Below are 24,663 nucleotides of genomic sequence, written 5' to 3'. Positions count from 1 at the left end.
TAATCTCTTCTCCATTTTTATAATTTTGCCAATTCAAAAATGCTGTGTAAAAGAAATTACACTATGCAACCTTTTGAGAAGGACTCTTCTTCACTTAGGATAATTATCTTTACATTCATCCATGTTGTTCTGTGTATCATGAGTTTATTCCTTTTTATTACTGAGTATTCCAGAGTATGGAAATACCATATTTATTTAACCCTTTACCTGTTAAAGAATATCTGGATATTTTCTGGTTTGGAGCTATTATAAATAAAGCTGCTATAAACATCCAAGTCCAGGTTTTTGTGTGAACATAGGTCTTCATTTCTTGGAGATAAAGCAGAGTAGTGCAGCTTCTGGTTGCACGTTCAGTTTTCTTTAAAAAATTGCTAAACTATTTTCCAGAGTGACAGCAATATGTGAGTGATGAGTTTTTTTGGTATCCTTGCCATGATTTATCACTATTTTCTTATTTTAGCCACCTTGATATGTGTATAGAGATATCTCATTGTGGTTTTAGTTTGCATTTCTCTAATGGCTTATAAGGTTGAACATTTTTTCATGTGCTTAATTATATCTGTGTATTTTCACCAATGAAATTTCTCTTCATATCTTTGGCCCATTTTCTAATCAGATTGTTATTTTCCCATTGACTTTTAAGAGCAGTTAATATATTCTGCACACTAGCTTTTTGTCAGATATGTACTTTGCAAGAATTTTTACCCACTCTGTGTTTTCACCCATTAATGGGGGCTTTAACAGAGTAAAAGTTTTTAATTTTCATCAAGTTCAATTGTTCAACTTTTTCTCATGAATTGTGCTTTTAGTACCAAGGCTAAGAACTCTGCCAACCTCTAGATCCTGAATATTTTCTTCTAGGGTTTTTTTTTAAATCAAAACTATTTTAGTTTTATATTTTACATTGAAGTCCATGAATTTATTTGGAGGTTTTTGTTTTTTGTTTGTTTTGTTTTGTTTTGTTTTTACATATAAAGCATGAGACTTCTCCCAAGGTCTTTTTGTTTGTTTTGCCTATGGATGTCCAATTATTCCAGCATCATTTGCTGAAAAGGTTGTCTTTTCTCCATTGAAGTACTTCTGCATCTCTGTCAAAAATTAATTGGGTGTATATATATATATATAAATTAATTGGGTGTATATATATATAAATTAATTGGGTATATATATATGGAAATATACTGTATTTCTGCATTCTCTGTTTCACTCCATTTGTCTCTGTGTATTTCATTCCACTAATACTACATAGTCTTGATTAGTGTAGCTATAAAATGCATCTTAGGTCGAAGGATTCCTCCCACTTGATTTTTTTTCTTTTTTTTCAAAATTGTTTTAGCTATTAAAGCTTCTTTGTCTTTTAATATAAATTTTAGAATTATATTTTCTATATCATCAAAAATCTTGGTGAGATTTCGATAAGAATTATTTAAAACCTATATATATATATATTTGGGGAAATTGTCATCTTTACTATGTTGAATCTTTTTTTTTTTTTTTTTTTTTTTGAAACAGGGTTTTACTCTGTCTTTCAGCCTGGAGTGCAGTGGTGTGGTCAGGCTCACTGCAGCCTCAACCTCCCAAGGTCAAGTGATCCTCCCACGTTAGCATCCTGAAGAGCCGGGACTACAGACAGGTGCATGCCACCATGCCCAGCTAATTTTTGTATTTTTTGTAGATACAGGGTTTCACAATGTTGCACAGGCTGGATGTTGAGTCTTATAATCTATGAAATCCCTCTATATTTACTTACATTTCCTTTGATTTCTTTCATCAACATTCCAGTTTGCCGCATACACTCCTGCTCATGTTTTGTTAGATTTGCTCGTAAGTATTTTCTTTTCTTGAGTGATTGAAAATGACATTTTAATTTCATTGTCAACATGTCTATTACTGGTATATAAAAGTTCAGTTCAGCTTTGTATGTTTATCTTGCATTCTGTAACACTACTGAAATCACCTATTCGTTCTAGGAGTGTTTTTCATAATTTCTTTTTTTTTTTTTTTTTTTTTTGAGACGGAGTCTCGCTCTGTCGCCCAGGCTGGAGTGCAGTGGCGCAATCTCGGCTCACTGCAAGCTCCACCTCCCGGGTTCACGCCATTCTCCTGCCTCAGCCTCCCGAGTAGCTGGGACTACAGGCGCCCGCCACCATGCCCAGCTAATTTTTGGTATTTTTAGTAGAGACGGGGTTTCACCGTCTTAGCCAGGATGGTCTCGATCTCCTGACCTCGTGGTCTGCCCGCCTCAGCCTCCCAAAGTGCTGGGATTACAGGCGTGAGCCACTGCACCCGGCCGTTTTTCACAATTTCTTGAGATCTTCTATGTAGGCAAATATGTCATCTGCAAATGGACACTGTTTATTTTGTCTTTTCCAATGAACATGCTTTTTATTCCTTTCTTTTCTCTATTGTACTGGCTAGAACTTCCTGTCCTATGTTAAATAAGAATGGCTGAATAAAAGCAGACACGCTAGCCTTGCTGTTTATCTGAGGAGAGAACATTCAGTCTTTTACCATTGGTAGATGTTAACTGCAGGTTTTTTATAGATGTTCTCTATAAAGTTCAGGAAGTTCTCTATTCCCATTTTTCTGAGAGTTTATATCATGATTAATGTTGAATTTGGCAAAAACATTGAAACACTTACACACATACATGTATGTATATATTTGGAATCAACTGATATGAACATGAGAGTTTTCTGCTTTAGCTTGTTAATATGGTGGTTTACATTACTTTATTTTCAAAATCAAGCCAGCCTTGTATCTCTAGATTAAAATCCACTTAATCATGGTTTTTTTTAATATATTACTGATTTATATTTGCTAATATTTTACTCAGGATTTTTGTGTCTATATTCAAGACAGATAGTGGTCTGTAGTTTCTATTTTCTTTTGTCTTTGTATTTTCTATGTCTTTGTATGGTTTTGGCTTCAGGATAATTCTAGCTTAATAAAATGAATTTGGAGTATTCTTTACTCTTATTTTCAGAAAGAGATTGTATAGAATTGATATTAATTTTTTAAACATTTGAAATAATTCTTCAATGAAACCTTCTGAACCTAGATTTTTTGGTGTATTTTTTAAATTAAAATTTTAATTTCCTTAACAGTTATAGGACTATTTAACTTATTGATTTTATATTGCATGAATTGCAGTAGTTTGTGTTTTTCTAGGAACTAGCTCATTTCACCAAAATTGCTAAATTCACATTTATAGAGTTATAAAGTATTTCTTTGTTATCCTTTTGGTGTCTGTAAAGTCTATAGTGATGTCCCTGTTTCATTTGTGATACTGGTAATTTTTTCTACTCTCTTTTTTCTCTGTCTTAGTAGTGGTTTGTGAATTTTATCAATCTTTTTAAGAACCAGCTAGCTGTTTCGTTGTTTCTCTCTGTTATTTATTTTTTGTTTCAATTTCATTAATTTCTGCTATCTCCCTTCCTTATCATTTCTTTTTTCCTTCTGATTGGTCGGGGTTTATTTTACTTACTTATTTATTTATTTATTAGGTTCTTGAGGTGGGAGTTTAGACTATTGATTTAAGGCATTTTCTCTTTACTAATGTATGCATTCAGTGGTGTAAATTTTCGTCCCAATACCGGTTAACTTTGCCCTACAAATTTAAATATTTTTTATTTTTATTTTCATTCAGGCAATGTAATTTTTTATTTCCATTGAGACTTCCTTGTTTATTCATGGATTATTTAGATGTATATTGTTTAATTTCTAGCATTTGAAGATTTATCCTTTATCTTTGTTATTGATTTCAAGGTGTTTAAAGAACGTACTCTGTATGCTTTCAATTCTTTTAAATTTGTTGAGGTTTGTTTCATGCCCCAGGATGTGATTTATCTTGGCATATCTTTCCTGGACACTTGAAAGAAATGTGTATTCTGATGCTGTTCGGTGGAGTGCTCTAAAAATGTTCATTAAATACTTTTTATTTGATGGTGTTACTGAGTTATTCTGCATCCTTTCCTATTTTGGGTCTACCAGTTGTTAACTTCTCCAATTATAGTCGTGCATTTGTTTATTCTTTCAGTCCTCTCAGGTTTTCTTCATCTATTTTGTAGTTCTACTGTTTTGAGCATACACATTTAGCATTGCTTCCTAAATGGTCTCCACTACCACTAGTAGGATAGACAATTCGTACTAGGTAATGGTGAAAGTCCTGGCATTCAATGAGGCTTCCTCTGACCCAAATAAGTGAAGAAAGGAAAAAGAGTAGAAAGAACAATAAATTTCCTTACTCTCAAACTAAAATTAGTGGGGAATCAAAGTCTTCTCAAACAAAATAAAGATAAATTTTAGAAAACTGCCACACTTTACACAGCAAATACAATTGCAGGAGAATTTAATAAGCATGAGCAAGTTGATGAGAAACGGCATGACATTCTGCAAGTATATCAAAGATCAAAACTTAACATGAGAAGCAAAAACATCACTCAGAAGTTCACTAAGTCATAGGAAATTTTAATAAAAACAATCTAACTAAAATAAGGACTAAAAACTATGCAAAAAACAACATAAAGATAATAGAAGAGATTGCTAATTGAAAATATAAGAGTATTGTTTTTAAAGCCTAATAAATAGTTTTAAAATAACAAAGAGACAAGGCTGAAAGTCATAATTCTAACATGAAGAAATGCTTCATGCAGTTTCTATTAATAGGCTGTTAATAAGGGTTTTGTTTTGTTTTGTTTTGTTTTGAGATGAAGTCTCACTCTGTTGTCCATGCTGGAGTGCAGTGGCATGATCTCAGCTCACTACAACATCCGCCTCCTGGGTTCAAGCGATTCTCTTGCCTCAGCCTCCCGAGAAGCTGGGATTACAGGCTCCCATCACCATGCCCTGCTAATTTTTTCATATTTTAGATAGAGACGGGGTTTCACCATGTTATCCAGGCTGATCTCGAACTCCTGACCTCAGGTAATCTGCCTGCCTCAGCCTCCCAAAGTGCTGGGATTATAGGCATGAGTCACTGTGCCTGGCCTAAGATTTTAACAGAGAAAATGTAGTTATGAAGAAGAGGCAGAAAGGACCCAACACAAAGACAACTGGTGTTTCTGAGGCCTAACGCCCAACAAATGGGCAGATATTAACTGAAAAATTTGTTACCAGAAACATTTTATGACAGAAAAAGGCCAGTCTTCAGAAGAAAAGATAATCTATGTTTCAGAAAAAATAATTGATATAGGCTGGGCATGGTGGTTTATGCCTCTAATCCCGGCACATTGGGAGGCCCAGGTGGGCAGATCGCTTGAGGTAGGGAGTTCAAGACCAGGCTGGCCAACACGGTGAAATCCCGTCTCTACTAAAAATACAAAAATTAGCTGGGTGTTGTGGAGCATGACTGTAATCCCAGCTATTCGAGAGTCTGAGGCAGGAGAATCGCTTAAACCTGGGAGGCGGAGTTTGCAGCAAGCCGAGATCGCGCCACGGCACTCCAGCCTGGGTGAGGGAGCAAGCAAGACTGTCAAAAAAAAAAAAAAAAAAAAAAGAAGAAGAAATAAGTGATACAGATTGCTCAACAATGAGATGCATAATAGTTAAATTGGGAAACTTCCAACATTAAAAAATAATTCTTCAAACATTTAGGCTAAAAAACCCAAACTATCTGCAAGAAAAAAAGAAAAAATCTGGCTTGACTCAAACTACCACATACTAAAATTCAATAGCAAAAATGTCTACAAATTTCTCAAGGAAATAAAGTTTGAACTGCAAATATCATATCCAATTAAGATGTAAGTCAAATAAAAAAGGAAAACATAAAATATCTATGCCATGAAGCAATACAGGTAATATCCAGCTTTAATTTATTCAACAAATATTTACCAAGCTCCCATCATATACAAGGTAATATGATAGCTGCCATTATGAGTATTCTTTGGGTAAATTTCTTAAAGTTGAAATTCAACCAATTAAGACATGAATCAAATTAAACATATTTAAAGGTAAAAAGTATTGGGGTACAAGAGCCACTGGTAAGAATCAGTTGTCTGCACACTATAATGGAAATATAGAATAGTATTTGATCACTTATTATGATGGAAAAACTTTATGTGTACATGTACACACAAATATATACATATCTATGTATATCAACACAATTATATCTAGCTATATATATGCATGCATCATTCTGTGTGTGTGTGTGTGTGTGTGTGTGTGTGTATATCCAAATATAAACAGTTAAGAAGAAGTGGAAGAGGGATTTTACTCCCAAGTATTCCGACTTCAGGGCTTGGGCTCTTCTATACTAAACTTTCTGAAAGAAATGCTAAGTAAAATTACAAACTTCGAGAACATAATTTAGAGAATATTAATGATATATATAATTGAGTAATAATGGTAATATAACTAATAAGAATCAGGAAGTAAAGAAAGAAGTGGCGGAAGAATTGGAAGAGGATCACTTCCCTAACCTTCATAACAGTGATCAATGGATATTATCTTAAATTAAAACATAGTTTATAGGAGATGGAGATGGGTGGCTCACTCAAGGCTAGAAATTTGAGACCAGCCTGGGCAACATGGTGAAAGCTGGGCATGGTGGAAAATACCTATAGTCTCAGCTACTTGGGAGGCTGAAGTGGAAGGATGGCTTGAGCCTGGGAGGCAGAGATTGCAGTGAGCCGAGATCGTGCCACTGCACTCCAGCCTAAGTGACAGAGCAAGACCCCGTCTCAATAAAAAAAGAAGGAGAAGGAGAAGAAGAAGAAGAAGATTGTCATATTTTAATATTTTCAATAAAAAAAACATAGCTTGGAAAACTTCACTCTGTCCTACATCAAGATATGCTGAGACCCTCCACTGAAGGTGTGCAGACAGATGGCCTTTTCTAAAGAGATGAGACAACGATGAGATACCCTCTTTGGTAACCCAGATGACTGACAGCAGTTTGCTTTAACTCCTTTTTAAAGGAAACTAAAAAAAAAAAAAAAAGAGCTTACCTATCTAAGATATTTTTTAAAGTGGCAAAGATGCACAGTCTATCTTACTTTAAAATTTGAATTAGAATGTGCGTGTACTATTTATTAAAAAGGAGGTAGATTATATCATCAGTTGTCCCACCAATCAATCCCACTTTCAATATTCTTGCCCTTATGTAGTCCCTTTCGTAGTATCCTGGGTTTGGCCATGGGACTTGCTTGACCAATGAGACATGGGCAAACATGACGCAAGCAGAGGCTTGGTAAGTGTTTGCACATTATGGACTGCACTCTGGTACTACAGATGCCACCAGCTGAGAAATTCCAGTCTTGTCCAGTGGCCTTAAGGAACAATGACCACATGAGGAGAGAGGTTCAGTGGATTCTCCAGCTGAAGGGTGCCACATGTGTGAGTCCACGGGAAACTAGCAGAAGAATGCCCTTCTCACTGACAGAACTGTGAGAAATAATAAACTGGTTTTTTAAAAATTTTATTTTTATTTTAAGTTTCTGGGGTACAGGATGTGCAGGTTTGTTACACAGGTGAATGTGTGCCATGGAGGTTTGCTGCACCTATCAACTCATCACCTAGGTACTAAGTCCAGCTTGGATTAGCTACTTTTCCTAATGCTTTCCCTCCCCCCACCACACCCCCTGACAGGCCCCAGTGTGTGTTGTTCCCCTCTTTGTGTCCATGTGATCTCATTGTTCAGCTCCCACTTATAAGTGAGAACATGTGGTGTTTGGTTTTCTGTTCCTGCGTTAGTTTGCTGAAGATAATGGCTTTTGGTTCCATCCATGTCCCTGCAAAGGACATGATCTCATTTCTTTTTATGGCTGCATAGTATTCTATGGTGTATGTGTACCATATTTTCTTTATCCAGTCTATCACTGATGGGCATTTGGTTTGCTTCCATGCCTTTGCTATTGTTAGTAGCTCTGATATGAAGATACACATGCATGCATCTTTGTTATAGAATGGTTTATACTTTTGGGGGGTATATAATCAGTAATGGGATTGCTGCATCAAATGGTATTTCTGGGACTACAGGTATGTGTCACCACACTCAGCTAATTTTTGTATTTTTAGTAGAGAATGGGTTTCACCATGTTACCAGTCTGGTCTCTAACTCCTGGCATCAAGCGATCCACCTGCCTCAGCCTCCTATAAGCTATGTTTCACATGGGCATTTAGCAATCCATATCAAATTCTTCAGCGTGTTGTTCACTACCTAACTGCTCTTGAAAAAAGACATAAAATTAAACATCTGTGGAATATAATGTTATACTGAGGGCATGCCCATTGAAAGATAGTAGGAAATAAACATATAAACTCTACTCTGATATGTAACATTAATAGAATGTGCATAATGCACACCCTATTTTAAGCATTTCACATAAATTATCTCCTCAATCATCCCAAAAACCCAATAAAGTAGTACTGCTATTCTTTACATATGAAGAAATGTAAGTTTAGAGATATGAAGTGACTTTCCCAAAGCAACATAATAAGTAATTTGTGGATCTGGAATGTGTAGTCAACTGGATCTGGCTCAAAAGACTCTGATTTTTTAATTTTTAATTTAATTTTTATTTTAAAAATGTTATTTTTAAAGGGTATTCAGATAGGAAGAGAGGAAGTCAAATTGTCTTTGTTTGCAGATCACATGATCCTATATCTAGAAAACTCCATCATCTCAGCCCTAAAGCTTCTTAAGCTGATAAGCAAATTCAGCAGTCTCAGGATACAAAATCAATATGCAAAAGTCACAAGCATTCCTATACACCAACAACAGGTAAGCAGGGAGCCAAATCATAAATGAACTCCCATTCACAATTGCTACAAAGAGAATGAAACACCTAGGAAAAGAGCTAATAAAGGAAGTGAAGAATCTCTTCCAGGAGAACTACAAACCCCTCCTCAAGGAAATAAGAGAGGACACAAGCAAATGGAAAAACATTCCATGCTCACGGATAGGAAGAATGAATATCATGAAAATGGCCATATGGCCCAACGTAATCTATAGATTCAATGCTTTTCCCATTAAACTACCATTGACATTCTTCACAGAATTAGAAGAAACTATTCAAAAACTCATATGGAACAAAAAAAGTGTTCATAGTCAAGCCAAACATAATCAAAAAGAACAAAGCTGGGGGCATCACACTACTGGACTTCAAACTGTACTACAAGGCTGGAGAAACCAAAATAGCATAGTACTGGTACAAAAACAGACTAATGGAACAGAATAAAGAATTCAGAAGACCACACATCTACAACCATCTGATCTTTGACAAACTTGACAAAAACAAGCAATAGGGAAAGGATTCCCTATTTAATAAAAGGTGCTGGGAAAACTGGCTAGCCATATGCAGAAAACTGAAACTGGACCCCTTTCTTACACCTTATACAATAATTAACTGAAAATGGATTAAAGACTTAACTGTAAAACCCAAAACTATAAAAACCCTAGAAGAAAACCTAGGCAATACCATTCAGAACATAGGCATGGGCAAAGATTTCATGACGAAATCACCAAAAGCAATTGAAACAAAACCCAAAATTGATAAATGGGATCTAACTAAATAAAAGAGCTTCTGCACAGCAAAAGAAACTATCATCAGAGAGAACGGGCAACTTACAGAGTGGGAGAAAACTTTTGCAATCTATGCATCTAACAAAAGTCTAATATCCAGAATCTGCAAGAAACTTAAAAAAATTTACAAGAAAAAAATGAACAACCCCATTAAAAAGTGGGCAAAGGACATGAACAGACATTTCTCTAAAGAAGATATTCATGTGGCCAACAAACATGAAAAAAATCTCAACATCACTGATAATTACAGAAATGCAAATCAAAACCACAATGAGATACCATCTCATAGTCAGAATGGCGATTATTAAAAAGTCAAGAAACAACAGATGCTGGTGAGATTGTGGAGAAAAAGGAACACTTTTACACTGTCAGTGGGAATTTAAATTAGTTCAACCATTGTGCAAAACTGTTGGGTTTTGCTTTAAGGTGTTTTTATTGGGGGCTGGGAGGGTTCAAGCGATTCTCCTTTCTCAGCCTCCAGAGTAGCTGGGACTACACGTGCGTGCCACTATGCCGGGTTAATTTTTGTATTTTTAGTAGAGGCGGGATTTCACCATTTTGGCCAGGTTGGTCTCGACCTCTTGGGCTTAAGTGATCCACCCACTTCAGCCTCCCAAAGTGCTGGGATGACAGGCGTGAGCCATCATGCCCAACAAGGTGTTTTATTAACGCATAAATAGATAAGTGATGTGACAAAGCAGTTAACAAATTGAAATGTCATGCACAAAGAATGCAAAGAATAATCAAGCATATCTGTTTCTGGATGAAGAAATAATTGCCAAATGATAAAGTTCCCAGAAACTTGTAGGATGAACTTTCCAAAGATCTGACGGAGTTTGTTTTGTTTTGTTTCATTTCTTAGATGAATAATTAATTATTAAAAGCTCAGCAATGTTTTTAATTTCACTATAATTTCTCTTTTTCTTGGTAAACTTGGGAAGACTTAAAATGAATACATTTTATTTAGTATGATATGATTCGATATTGAGTGTCTGTATAACTTTCTTTTTCTCTTACTCTCTTTTATTCTCTCTCCATCAATATAAATATACCTGAAGTAAATTTTATTAAGAGATAAATTATTTTTAATACTATCCTTCAACTTTGGTCTATTGTTTAAATTATTTATAATTAGTATATGTACTTTTATTTGATAGTCATAAAGAAATTTTTAAAATATACTAAAGTTTATTTTTCTACAAATAAATTTATTTAGGATTTTAGCTGTCCAAGATAAAAAATATATTTTTCCCACAAAGAAGCTTGTTTATTTAGGGTTTTGTTTGTTTGTTTTGTTTTGTGTTTTGACAGAGCCCCGTTCTTGTTGCCCAGGCTGAAGTGCAGTGATGCTATCTCGGCTCCCTGCAAACTCTGCCTCCTGGCTTCAAGCGATTCTCCTGCCTCAGCCTCCCAAATAGCTGGGATTACAGGCGCCCGTCACCATGCCCAGCTAATTTTTGTATTTTCAGTAGAGACAGGGTTTCGCCACGTTGAGCAGGCTGGTCTCGAACTCCTGACCTCAGGTGATCTGCCCATCTTGGCCTCCCAAAGTGCTGGGATTACAGGCGTGAGCCATCATGTCCAGCCTATTTAGGGTTTTAACTGTCCAAGATAAAAATGTATTTAACAAAATTTTCCAACATAGGTTGCCCAAAAGAAAGAAAGCTCTGTAGTCATTCACAGCCATCTTGCCTCAGAGTCCATCTAGAGGTTGGAGAAATTATAGGAGATTTATAGCTTTTGAACCTACTTATGATGATCATTTATTATATTCTGAGTAAGTATTCATATTATATTTCCTATTTCATAATAAACATTTCTGTGCATAATATAGCATAGTTTCTTAATAAATACTAGAAACTCAGAGCTTGAATTCTGCTTATTTATGATTATATTATTTAATTAAGAATATGTACCCCTTGAGGCTGGGCGCGGTGGCTCACGCCTGTAATCCCAGCACTTTGGGAGGCCGAGGCGGGCAGATCACGAGGTCAGGAGATCGAGACCATCCTGGGTAACACGGTGAAACCCCGTCTTTACTAAAAATACAAAAAATTAGCCGGGCATGGTGGCGGGCGCCTGTAGTCCCAGCTACTCGGGAGGCTGAGGCAGGAGAATGGCGTGAACCCGGGAGGTGGAGCTTGCAATGAGTGGAGATTACGCCACTGCACTCCAGCCTGGGCGACAGAGCGAGACTCCGTCTATGTACCCCTTGAATCCAATTAACTGAGACTTAATGAATGCATTACCAAAGCTATCTCAGTATAAATCTCCCCAGCTTAAGTATCACCATGGTATGAAACATACTACCATTTGTCTCTTGTGCTATTGTAGTAACCTCCCAACTGGTCTGCAGCTCTTATTTGCATTTGCACTTCAAGATGAAGACGTCATTTACATCACTTTACCTTACAGATTTTTTCAGCCTAGTTTACTACACCTGAGACTGAATTTGATGGCTTTTCCTCCGGATTTGTACACATTCTTCTAGGAAGATCCCACACAGATTTTCTTTTTAAGCACTGTGGTAGTACGGTTTCATAATTTTCATAAATGTTTTTCTCTCAAAGACTGCAAGCTGATGGAGGGCTGAATGCATGTGTTATTCACCCTTTCCTCTGCAGCACCTAAAACAATAACTAGAACAAATGTTCCAATCATGAGTTAGCAAATACATGTATATCTGATAAAGCAATGAGCTAATTATGAGGTAAAAGATTATTAATTAAGTTCCAAGTTTGAGATAATTAAAAGACTTTCCTAAAATTTTAAAATGGAAGGTTGAAGCATTTATACATTCCCTTGGGGTGGAGGGAATATGACTAAGAAAATCAATTATTCTCTTCATTCTTGATGATTTTAGAAATGATGAGATAATATAAGGACAAGACAATGTGTTAAAATATGTGATGACATTTGAGAGTTTTAACCAGACACACAAAAAGTTAAAATAAAAAAAATTATGTAATATCAAAAATTACCAGCCAAACTATTTAATCCCATAAGGATGCTCAGTGTAGCATAAAATCAAATTTGGTATTTTGTACATATTAAAAATATGTATATGGATTTTATTTTTACTTTTAAGTGACTGACAAAAACTCAGGCTTTAAACCATTTCTTTTTGAGAATTTCCTTTACTTTTCTCACATTTACCGTGTCACAGTGATCTTCAGAAAGCAGTCAAGTTGATCCTGACAAGTAAACAATTGAGACATGATTCTACTCATTATTGAAAAAATATTCCTGTACTGATGCCTACAATAACCCCAAACAGAAAGAGAATCTTCCGGCTAATCAACTCCTAGAATTTATATAGTGGGTCAGGCTGTCCCAGATGGCACACTGCCCTATGTTTAATAGTCTGAATATTTTTAAAATTCTAGTTAGAAAATAAATTAACTTTTAAAAGCAGGTAATGGCTTATCTGTGGCATCACTCCCGAGGGTTCAAGTAGAGTGAAAATATACCAGGTCAGCTTTGAGAGAGGGTCTTCATTAGGGTGGCCTTCGTATTAATGTGGAATAGGAAAAGAAGCAACTCAGTGCCTTCAAGATCGTTTCTCTGTGTTCTTTCTCCTTCTGCGATACACTCCACCCTTTTGCCCGTATTTTTTCTCTTTATTCTTTGTTTGAAAATAAACATTCAAAAAAGTATCTAAGACTACCTATTTATTTTCACACAAATTAAAATCAATATATACCCTCTTCCAAGGTATTTACATTTCAAACCTTATCTATGATAGAGAAATAAGTGATTACATGTCATTAATGCAATTTCAGGCATTGGTATATGGGATCTGCAGCAGTGAGGTTATCTAAATAATCACATTTCTGCTATACTACAATATTACCTAGATTTATCTCAGATGTTCACAGTGTAAAGAAGTAACATAAAGGTAAGAAAAATGATGAGTTACCTTGAAAAACTAGCACAGGTTTGGTTTTCACTTTTATATTTTTCTTATTGTAGAGCATTCAAATAAGTTAACAAAGATCACTTAAAAATTTTATTGATACCAAATTGGGGGAAAAACATATTCTAAATTTATGCATAGTTATATAGAACATCATGTAAATTAGTAAGTTTTCACTTATCTGCTATTTTTGGGAAGGGTGGAATGGGGAGGGAATTATTTTCCTACAAATCAATTTAATTCTGGAATTAATCTTTCATTTTTCTGTATTCATTGTACTGATTCAAACAATTCAAAATTATACTAACCCATTTCTTGAAAGCACCCTAGTATTATAATCAAAATCAAAGATTTTGCTTGCCATTCTTACATATTCTTAGAAAAGAGAAATGAAAAAAATAAATTCCTATTCTAAGAGTTCTTAAAATCTCTGGTGGAGAAAGTCCACAATGGAAATGCCAACACTAAGTAAATTAACATTAACAACACTGATTTTGTCAAAAACACAGTATTTTTTATTTTTCTCTTATTGTTGTTAAACTGGTATTGGACAATATCACCAACATAATATCAGGACACAGATGAAGTATATAGCATTCCCAGTAAAATACATTAAAAAAAAAAAAGGGTTAGCAAGGTCTGGTGCAGTGGCTTATGTCTGTAATCCCATCACTTTGGGAGGCTGAGATGAGTGAATCATCTGAGGTCAGAACCAGCCTGGCCAACATGGTGAAATCCCATCTCTACTAAAAACACAACAATTAGCTGGGCGTGGTGGCAAGCGCCTGTTGTCTCAGCTGCTTGGGAGGCTGAGACACGAGAATTGCTTGAACCCAGGAGGTGGAGGTTTCGATGAGAGGAGATCAAGCCATTGCACTCCGGTCTGGGTGACAGAGCAGGAATCCATCGCAAACAAACAAACAAATAAGATGGCAGAAACAACCAACACCTCAACCTCAGAGAGCAACACCTTATAAATCCATTATTGAACATGACACAGAAGGACTAAATAATGAGTAGAGATTATATGTTTGTGTATATGAGTGTGTATGTAACACTTTTCCATTGTGGGTAGTTCAATCTTAAGTAAGCTTCATGGCAAGACTCAACTTGATGCAAAATACTTGAGTGGCTTCAAAATCTATTTAGTCTCCCAGAAAAATCTTGGTAAAGCTTGGTTTTATGGTTATCTTGTATTTATCTAAACTACAGTTTTAAAAAAAGACATGTCATCCATACTCCTGTTCATATCGACATCAAGAAGATTAGATCTAGTGCAATGAGCTCTGTACCAATGAAGTAAGAAACTTTTTATTTTTTAACTCGGGCATTGAATTTACTGTACTGTGCACCAAAGCTTAGTAGTAATGTTTCAGAAGGAAGCACCTGGCTTAGCCATGCTGTCGCATAGCACAAGATCAACTGCTGGTTTGAATATCAGGTTTATTTCTTTTTTGTACACCTTTCTTGCTAATGGGCAAATGAGAAAAATGAAGTAGATGGAAGAAACTATAAATATATATTTGCCCTTTTATTTCTACTTGCCCTTTTGATTTTCTTTATGGATTTTCTTCAGAGGAAACAGATGGGATGCTTTGAAGCTAGCTACGAGATGGTAGAAAATTTACAAAATAAGATCTGTGTGGGAAGGTTAAGAGAACTGTATGTGCGCAGTCTGGGGGATACAGGAAGACAAAGTGGAAACATCAAAGCTGTCAACACATATATAAAAGGATATCAAAGAGATGTGTCGTTGCCATTGACCACAATCAGGAGAAATTGAGTTAAACGACAGCAGAAAAAATTCTGAGGAAAGGCAAGCTTCACCCCCCACCCCACCCTCAACCCATCTTAAATCGAAGTTGCCACATTCTCATACAAAGAAATGAGGGAAATCAAGCCATTATTCACATTCAGTAAATTCTGAAATAGTTCAAGTCCTCCCATGACAACCAAATGAAGATAGATTAGCCAATCCAAGCACTTACTCTAAATGCCTGGCATCTATCTCTATGTATGGGTAACTACTCAGTGGAAAGTCACGTTTGAAGGACAATCTGGACGTATGGGGTTTAGGAACCAGGACTATCTCTAGTCTATCATCACACCACCATCACATCCCAGTCTGCGGGCACTGGGAACACAGCTTCCTGCAGAGAGAGCTCAGGGAAAGACAGAGTTCAAGTTCTAGTGTGCAATTAAACAGAGTCACATGAAGACGGTGCTGGGGAGTCTCTAGGGTTTTTTCCAGCTGCATTGTCCACAGGGAGAGGGGGTTGTTTAGAGACTATTCTCTGCCTTAGTTTATTCTTTTATTAGAAAAATTGTGAGCTGTTGTTTAAATATAAAAACTGTATTTTACAGCTTGCTTTCTTCCTGTATCTTATTTTAGGGAATCCTCACAAATTTCTGAGGAAGATATTAACCAATTATACAGACTCTGAGAGTTTCATAATGGCACATTATCACTAAGAGCAGATTCAAGAAGAATCTTAGAGTAGAAGTCATGAATAGCCATACTTAGCATATGGGCATAGAAATCCAGGGGAAGTGAAAAAAAGAAGCAATAAATTTATGAGAAAGGAGATGGTGGCCATGTTGTTGAAGAAATATATGCATTATGTAATGAAATCTAATTTGGTATTTGATTACAATATCATATCAACTAATTAATCAAGATGTCAGCAGTGTCATCCTTTCCTTTGTGACCTCAGGAGGAGAATCATCTCAAGCTCCATCCTATTCACATGGAAAGCCCGTGCCTTTTCCAACATTTCTTCTAATTCTAGCACTTTCAGATGTTATTTCATGTTCTTCATGAATTCTCAATTTTATGTTATGCATTTTATTCTGTTAATTTAGTGAGTTCCTCCTGGGATACAGTTTTTACTTCTTGATTCCATTCCTAAAACCTCCAAAAAACTGCCATTCATAGGATATCTAGAGTTTGCAATAGGCTTTTACAGAAAGGAGATTCATGGGGGTAACGGAGACAAGCACTTCATTGCAAGATTATACAGAATATTATTTAAAACAAAACATTATATTTTCCTGTTACACAAATAAAATCCTTTGGCAATTCTCATCAACTTACCAGAGAAGATGAGCTGTTAGTTTCGTCCCTCGTCTCCTGCAATATCATGCTTTTAAAGCTTCACTGTCTCTACCCCAATCAGAGTCTGTTTCTAAGTAAAGACATTTCTTCTTTAAGAGAAATACTGATGTCATGTGCAGCAGGGAAACAATTGGAACTAATCTTATTTCACAGATGAAGAATTTCTTAATGGTGTGTTTAATTAATGCATCTGAGGTGTTCACTTACAAAGTACCAGAATCAACACATGAACCCTAGTCATTCCAAGCTTGAATGCTTCCAAAGACGACATGTTTTACCTTATGTGTAGCTTACCCTAAACAGGCCTGACTCATTGGAGAAACATATTGTAGCAGATTCTCTGTTATAGTTCACTTTTATGGAATATACTAGGCATATGGAAATCTTCCAATCTGTCTTAAACTATCAAGATTGAACCCCAATGATTCACTAATTATACAAGGCTGACATAATGATCTCCCTTCAGTGCACATGTATTTTCAATTCCTTCCTGCATGTTATGAATACTCCGGAGATAGTTTATCTTGGACTAACTCTGGCCTCACTGCAACTATGCAGATTTACAGGTAGGATAGTAGTCTGACTTCCTGAAAACACCCTGGCACTCATGACTGGACGACAGCACCTGAGCTCAAGCCTATTGTTCTACCAAGAGCTTATCCAGATCTTCAAGAGACCCTTCCCATTACTTTTTTTTAGCATTGGTGAGCAGTCTGTGTGTTCATATTGACAGAAAGGATGTTAGACCATCCCAGCTAATGTCCCCGAGTTCCGACAAGAGTGCCCTGTAGAAACTCGTCCTTGCCTATGCCCAAAAGCCCTTTCTCTTTGGGATCATTTTTTTTTTCTGACTCATGAGTGATACTCATGCAATGTGAGGGGAAAAGAAGACACTAAATCAAATCACCAGCACGCTCTCATATATTTTAGTGCCCCTTTAACTCTGATCTTCTGGATCAGCAAGTAAATGGTCTTTAAGAATCTTGACCTCATTTTCTTTTCTCATGACTTAACTAACAACTCCAGTTAGGTTACCCAATCAGAAGGACTGTGTACTAAACATCCCTTTAAAAAGCAAGGGCAGAGACAGGGCTCAGTGGAGAATGACTTATTATCAGAAATGAGAGTGAATTAAGTAGGCTTTAAATTATTTCTCTTTTCTAATTTCTCTTTAAATTATAATGAAAATTATTCATTAGCTTTCTGATTTAAAAAAAATGCCTATTTTAAGACATTTACTAGATACCTTCTGCATCATTATACAGTGGAGAGAATCCTGAAATCTGCTGTGCACAGTTGTTAAAATCTTTCCTGGAATATGTTAATAGCATTTCTCTAGAGTCTTTCAGAATGATGACATTCTGTAGAATGATTATGAACTTGGATAACAATCCTAAAAAACAGCTCTGATAATAAAATATCTTTGAGTCTAATTTTCTGTCCAATACTCATGTCTACTTTGTTAAGGTCAAATAGAACTTTGTAAATGGTATGAGTAGAATAAAGTTGTTGTTTCTCTTGTGCCGTACTTTTCCTTTTACAGAAATGTCAGCCTCTATCCCCCTCCTTTTCTGTGGCATCCTATATCCCAACAGATAATGAGGACCCAAAGAAGCTACAGATATCCAAAAAAAACATTGCACTAACGTTAAGAATTATCCAGAATTCCCAGATGCCTGGGAAGGACACCAAGGTGGGAGACACCCTGCAGTAGGCATACACCTCTTCCCTATTCATGGATATACAAGATTATTCAATGGATCTCATGAGAGATAAAAAGGTGGCCCTTTCATTGATGCATAATTTATGTTCTACTTCCATGAATTGTGGGTTTAAAATAGAATCTTAAAGTATGCCATGCACATCACTATAGACTCTCTTTGAATATTTTAATAATTTCTCTAAAATATTTCTATTATGACAGTCTTCTATAGAATGATTAGACACTGAAATACCAGTTTGTAAAGCCAGTCTGATTGTAAGGTATTTTTGAGTCTCCTTTCTACTGTTAACAGTGAGTTCTGCTGAGTTAAGGTGAGTTAGAACACTTAGAGTACATTTGCATCATCTGATGGGCTAACTTAACTGGGGTTGAAAGAACAAAGTCATGTTGGAAGGGGAGATAATGTATACTAAGGTGGAAAAATATCAGATAAGATCTGATAAAGTCTTTTACCTCAGGAATTTATGGTCCCTCTGGCATAGTTGAAAGTATAAACCAAATGGGTTCATGTCTGTATTAGTCAAGGTTCTCTAGAGGGACAGAACTAACAGGATATATATACAGGATATACATATATACATATATATGTAATATATGAACATATTTATATGTAATACATATTTATATATGTTATATATATAATATATACATATATATGTTTGTGTGTGTGTGTGTGTGTGTGTGTGTGTGTATATATATATATATATACATATATAAAGGGGAGTTTATTAAAGAGTATTAACTTACACGATCACAAGGTCCCACAATAGGCTGTCTGCAAGCTGAGGAGCAAGGAAGCCATTCCTGGTCCCAAAGCTGAAGAAGTTGGAGTCCAGTGTTTGAGGGCAGGAAGCATCCAACACTGGAGAAAGATGTAGGCTGGGAGGCTAAGCCAGTCTAGTCTTTTCATGTTTTTCTGTCTGCTTTATATTCTGGCCATGCTGGCAGCTGATTAGGTGGTGCACACCCAGATTAAGGGTGGGTCTGCCTTTCCCAGCCCACTGACTCACATGTTAATCTCCTTTGGCAACACCCTCACAGATACACCCAGGATCAATACTTTGTATCCTTCAATCCAATCAAGTTGACACTCAGTATTAACCCTCACAGTGCCTGAAAGTTTCACCTGTGCAACTGAAACATCAAGGATTTTCCAAATTATTTGTTATACACTCCCTCCTTGGTTTTCCTACCCCTTACATTTTTGTATCCCTTTTTGAATATTCTGAAATTGTAAAGGAGTCTGGCTAGTTTTATGCTTATATCTGTCTCATTAAGCTCTTATTAGGAAATTAAAACTTTTCTAAGAGTTTAATTAGCTGATATACACCCCTCCCCAAACTATCCATAATGTAAAAGTGTCCAATATCAAAACAACAGCATTAGAAATTCTAGTACCGTTTACCACTGATAATCAAAGACTACATACAGTTGTCCAGGGGTTAAATAACATTTAACTTAAGATGAGAATTCCTTCACTTTTCCTAACACTAATGCTAGAAATAGAAATCCCACCAAGTAACCTGTTGGAAATTGTCAATTATAAAAATATACTGCTGAGCTGACAGCCCTGAAGAAGAGATGCATAGGGCAAGGTATGGAGAATAAGGCTGCAGAAGCTCCTAACATTGAGGTACTCCTCAGTAAGAAACAGGAGAGGCACTGGGGAGCCCCAGCTCCTGTCTGCATCATGAGTGTGTGATCTCCTGCTTACCTGCTTACCCTTCGCATTGTGTGCTAAATCCACAATCACTGAAAGTAATCTTGGTCAAGAAGGTCAGCTCATTATTCTCAATTCTCATGTCTTGACCAGGCTTTATAGTTTGGCCTAACTCAAAGCTCTTTTTATCTTTTCTTTTCTTTTTTTTTTTTTTACTATGATTTGAATCTTTTAGACAAAGTTTATTATTTGCTACATTTAGAGGCCTTCTTTCAACTTACAAGTTTTTGGAAGACTTGGTGTTTTTTGTGTATTTTGTTTTGTTTGTTTTGTTTTTGTACAAGGAGCATGGGTACAAAAACAACACTTGCTGCATGTACTTAGAATCTCTATCTATACAACTAGCTAGCACACTAGCTAATGGTACAATAACAGTTAATATCCTTAATTCTTGATCCTTAGGAAAAATGCTAGCAATTAAATGAACTTGGATACTTTTCACAGTTCAATAATCAAATCAAATATTTAGTTAAAGAGGTACCTTCTGCCTAGACTGAAATCATTTCTGGACTGTTTGAATTTCAGAGAAAATATCCTGTCTACACAAGGTGCAAAGTCTTACTGAAGCTGAAAAGGAGTTATCCTTCATATTAGACACGTAAGCTAATATACAATTCAGGGGATTGATCATTGTTCTGCCTGCAGACATTCGTGACAGGCCTTTAGCTGTGATGTAATTGCTATTATGTCTCTGATTTTGGTTCTTTCCTTCCTTCGCCAACAGTCATTGCTCTGTGCAGATCCTCATAATTTCTCACCAGGATCTTTGTAATCCCACTTAATACTGTCCCCTCTCTACTGACTCACTAGTTGTCTACATTTATTATTTTTCTCTTGCCAGAGTCATCTTTCCTTTTCTCAAATCTGATCCTGCAATACTTCCGCCTAAAATTTTTTTAATGATTCTCTAACACCTATGCAGTGAAATTTCTTATTCCTCTACTGGGCGTTTCCTATTTCACTTTGATTCACGGTCTACCCTTCATCACCCTGCTCTGTGTGCCCTGGGAGCCTGATCTATACTGACATCATCAGTTGGCTTCCTTCCCCTCTGGCTTCTGGTTGGGTTTAGCAATGAGAGGTAATGGCAGGAGATTGGAAGTGAGAGAAGAATGAGTTTAGGGTATTAATTCTCCCAGGTAGTAAATTGGTTGTATTTCTCTACTGACTGGGAGTCCTTTCCTAGAGCTGCAATTAGCTCTCTGTAATTACTCTTTTGTTATCACTTTCTCTCTTTCCATTTTAGGCCTATGTGTGATGCCAGCTGAGGAGTACTTCACCATACCTTATTAGTTTCCCTTAACCTGTTCATACCTTTATAAGAGGCCCCTTCATTAATATGTCCTCTAGGACCTGGTGAGTGTATCATCTACAAGTGTGTCATCTCCGCAGGGTCTCTTGCTAAGACATTGGTTGATATGCATGGCATCCAAGGTACTTCATCATCTTGCTTCCTTATAGTATTTGAGTTTTTTCCTTTAAGCCTCATGTTTATTATTCAATACTAAATTGTCATGCTTGTAGTTCCCCAAAAAAGTATGCTCTTCTAAGACTCTCTATACATTCGCTTATGTTTTTCATTCTGCCTTCAGGTCACTTTTCTTCCTTATTCACCAAGTGTGTTAGGCTGGTCTTGTATTGCTATAAAGAAATACATAAGACTGTGTAATTTATAAATAAAACACTTTCCATTGGCTCATGGTTCTGCAGACTTTATAGGAAGCATGGTACTAGCATCTGTTCAGCTTTTGGGGAGGCCTTAGGAAGCCTACAATCATGGTGGAAGGCAAAGCAGAAGCAGTCACTCACATAGCCAGAGCAGGAGCAAGAGAAAGAAGGAAGTGCCACGCACTTTTAAATGACCAGATCTCCTGTGAACTCAGAGCAAAAGCTCACTTGTCACCAAAGGGATGGCCCGAGTCCTTCATGAGGGATCGGCTTTCATGATCAAACAGCTCCTGTCAGGCCCCACCTTCAACATTGGGAATTGCAATTCAACATGAGATTTGTATGAGGACAAACATCTAAAATATGTCACTGGAATAACCACAACTCATTTTTCAGGTCCCTGTTTGAAGTGTCTTTTCTGTCAAGCCTTGCCTAGCCTTCATGATCAGACTCGGAGAGCCCTTAACTTTTTGTGCATACCCTAATTACATCAATGTTTGTATTTGTTTATTCATGTATTCATTGATTATTACTTGTTCATCCATTTATCTTCATCCAACACATACTAAATACATGCTTTCTGTATGCCAAGCATTCCTTTAGGATTGGAGTTATCATAGTGAAAAAAGAAGATAAAAACCCATGGTACATTTCATGGAGGTGAGGATATAGAGAAGAAGAAAGATTGGGCAGGAAGAACCTTCTGGCAAAAGACCAGGCAGTGCAAGTCCAGAGGCAAGAGGCTGGCTGTGTGTTTAAAGCACACCAAGGTGGACAGTGTAACTGCAGCAGTAATAACAGAAAGGAGAGTAAGACAGGAGATCAGAAAAATGAGAAGATCTGTGGGATCAGGTAGCCCATTGGAAGGACATTGGGTTTGACTTGAGTGGGAATGGACTTGCACCGGACAGTCTGAGAAGAAGTTTCCTAAGATCTAGGTTATATTTTTAACAGTATCACCTAGCTGCTGTTACAAATGGAGTGATACAAGAGAAGAAACAAAAATTCAGCTAAGGTATACCATAATACTGTTTTGTTCTACATATTTCCCCTCATTTGTGTCTGAGATGCCTGAACAAAGGGTGGAAATATATTTACAGCTAAGAAAAAAAATTATATGCCGAAAAAACACAAACTTTGGAATCAGATAGTCTTGGTTTTGAATATCAGATCTGCTTCTTACCGTGGGATTACCTTGAATATTTTTTCAACTTTCTCATTTGCTGAAAAGAAAGATTAATAATTCCATCCTTACAGTGTTATTATAGAATTATTTTAGGATTATTGAAAAAGTATACAAATATTTTGACAGAGAATAAAAGCTCAGTTGGTTGTAGTTATTGATATAAAATCTTCTGCACAAAGTGAAGCATGCAATAAAGAGAAATTGGTCAATAAATGTTTGTTAAATATTTTGATGTTTATATCATGCAGAAAATTTTTTTTAAAGTCAGATTTCCAAGTCCACAGAATAAATAAAATGGCTGAAGAGAAACTAGGTAAGTTCACAGCTTTTATGTGGTGATTTTTTTCTGATCTCTGCATATATTTAACTTTGCTCCCCAAATGCTGCCAATTGATTAATGAAATTAGTACACATTAACTTTGACAGTACCCAACAATGCCCATATCTATATATCTCCGTTGTCCTTTCAGGCTTTTTCTCTCTCTCGCTCTCCAAACACACATGCACACACACATACTTTCAAATATAAAGCCCAAAATTCCAATAAAAGCTATAATAAAGGGTAAATAGTTTTAAAATAAATATGCTTACATTTTGATGTCAACTGTTTGCCGATGCTGTCCCTTTTTGATTACTGAAACATTTTGTAATTCTATTTGTATTCTAAGAAGCACACTAACTAGATAGGGGTTTGGATATTCAATTCTGAGGTTTTTTGGACAAAGATATTTTGCCTGTCTGACCAGGGTCTCTGCATACAAATTAGACCTGGGCTGCTGCATCTTCTGGCTCTCGTTTGGTGGATCTGTTCCAGAAGATGAAGCTCTGTGCAGAGCGAGGAGGGTCAGAGGAACATAATTTATAATAATCACATGAAATACTTTCCGATTAGGTATGTTCTGATTCATTCTTTTGTTTATAAAATTGTGGTAAAAATTGAACTGATGCTTCTGCATGACTGAAACTGCTATAGAAATGCCTGTCAACATGAGGGAAAGCACACGGCTCCATTTTGTCATGGGCATCATAGGCAGTGTCTTTTCTTTGTACAGTTGCAACATCAAAAAGATTTTTTTCAGTGGCAGTTGTTTACCATTTGTCTTGCTTAAACCACTTCCTCAGTCCCCTCAGGTTACTTTTGATTGATCAACATGCTATTTTTAATTCAATACAAAGCAGATATCCCCCAATCCAGCTGACACACAGTGGGACCACCTTTGTTATTGGAGAGCAATTTGGCAAGATACATTAAACCTAAATGTGAGCTTACTCTTCCGCCAACAGCTCTATTTTCAGTTGCGAAATTCTCATGCAAGAGATAGAAGCCATTTGTGAATAACTCTTTGCAACCTTTGTTGTAAAAATATAAAATAAAAACAACCAAATGTCCTTGTTACAAAACACTGTGTGATAACCACAACCACAATTATTTACAATTGATACAAAAGTTAGAGAGCAGAAACTAGGTCTGCAAATATCAACAGGAATAAATTTTGAAAAATTGTCATATCAAGTGAGAAAAGTGAACTGCAAAATGATACCTACAACATGCTGTTATTAAAGGAGAAGTTAAAACCACTTTTGTAAACTACTAACACTGCGGTATAGAAATGCAAATAGCAAGAATACAAACCACCTTGAACGTGGTGCTTTCCTCTAAAAAAGGAAAATGGGAAGCAGAGTACAAAGAAAACTTCAAATCATTCTGTTATAGTTTATTCCTTCCAACAGGTGTTCATGATATTATTACCTGTACTTTTCTTCATATTTGAAATAGTTGTAATAAGTCAATCCATGAAGAAAACCTAA

General features: G+C 36.2%; 1 long non-coding RNA gene across 2 annotated transcripts in view; it reads right to left on the bottom strand.

Annotated features, from left to right (window-relative positions):
- LOC105373643 (uncharacterized) overlaps positions 1 to 23,561 on the bottom strand; it is a 144,473-nt gene extending 120,912 nt beyond the window's left edge. For both annotated transcript variants that reach the window (NR_188041.1, NR_188040.1), the window contains exon 1: positions 23,446 to 23,561. This is a non-coding gene — a long non-coding RNA (uncharacterized LOC105373643). The remainder of the gene's footprint in view (positions 1 to 23,445) is intronic.
- Positions 23,562 to 24,663: the final 1,102 nt, after the last annotated feature.

The sequence above is a fragment of the Homo sapiens genome, chromosome 2 (assembly GCF_000001405.40).
Source record: "Homo sapiens chromosome 2, GRCh38.p14 Primary Assembly".
Lineage (NCBI taxonomy): Eukaryota > Metazoa > Chordata > Mammalia > Primates > Hominidae > Homo > Homo sapiens.
The sequence above is the reverse complement of the archived record's forward strand: the minus strand, read 5'-3'. Positions and strand labels throughout refer to the sequence as shown.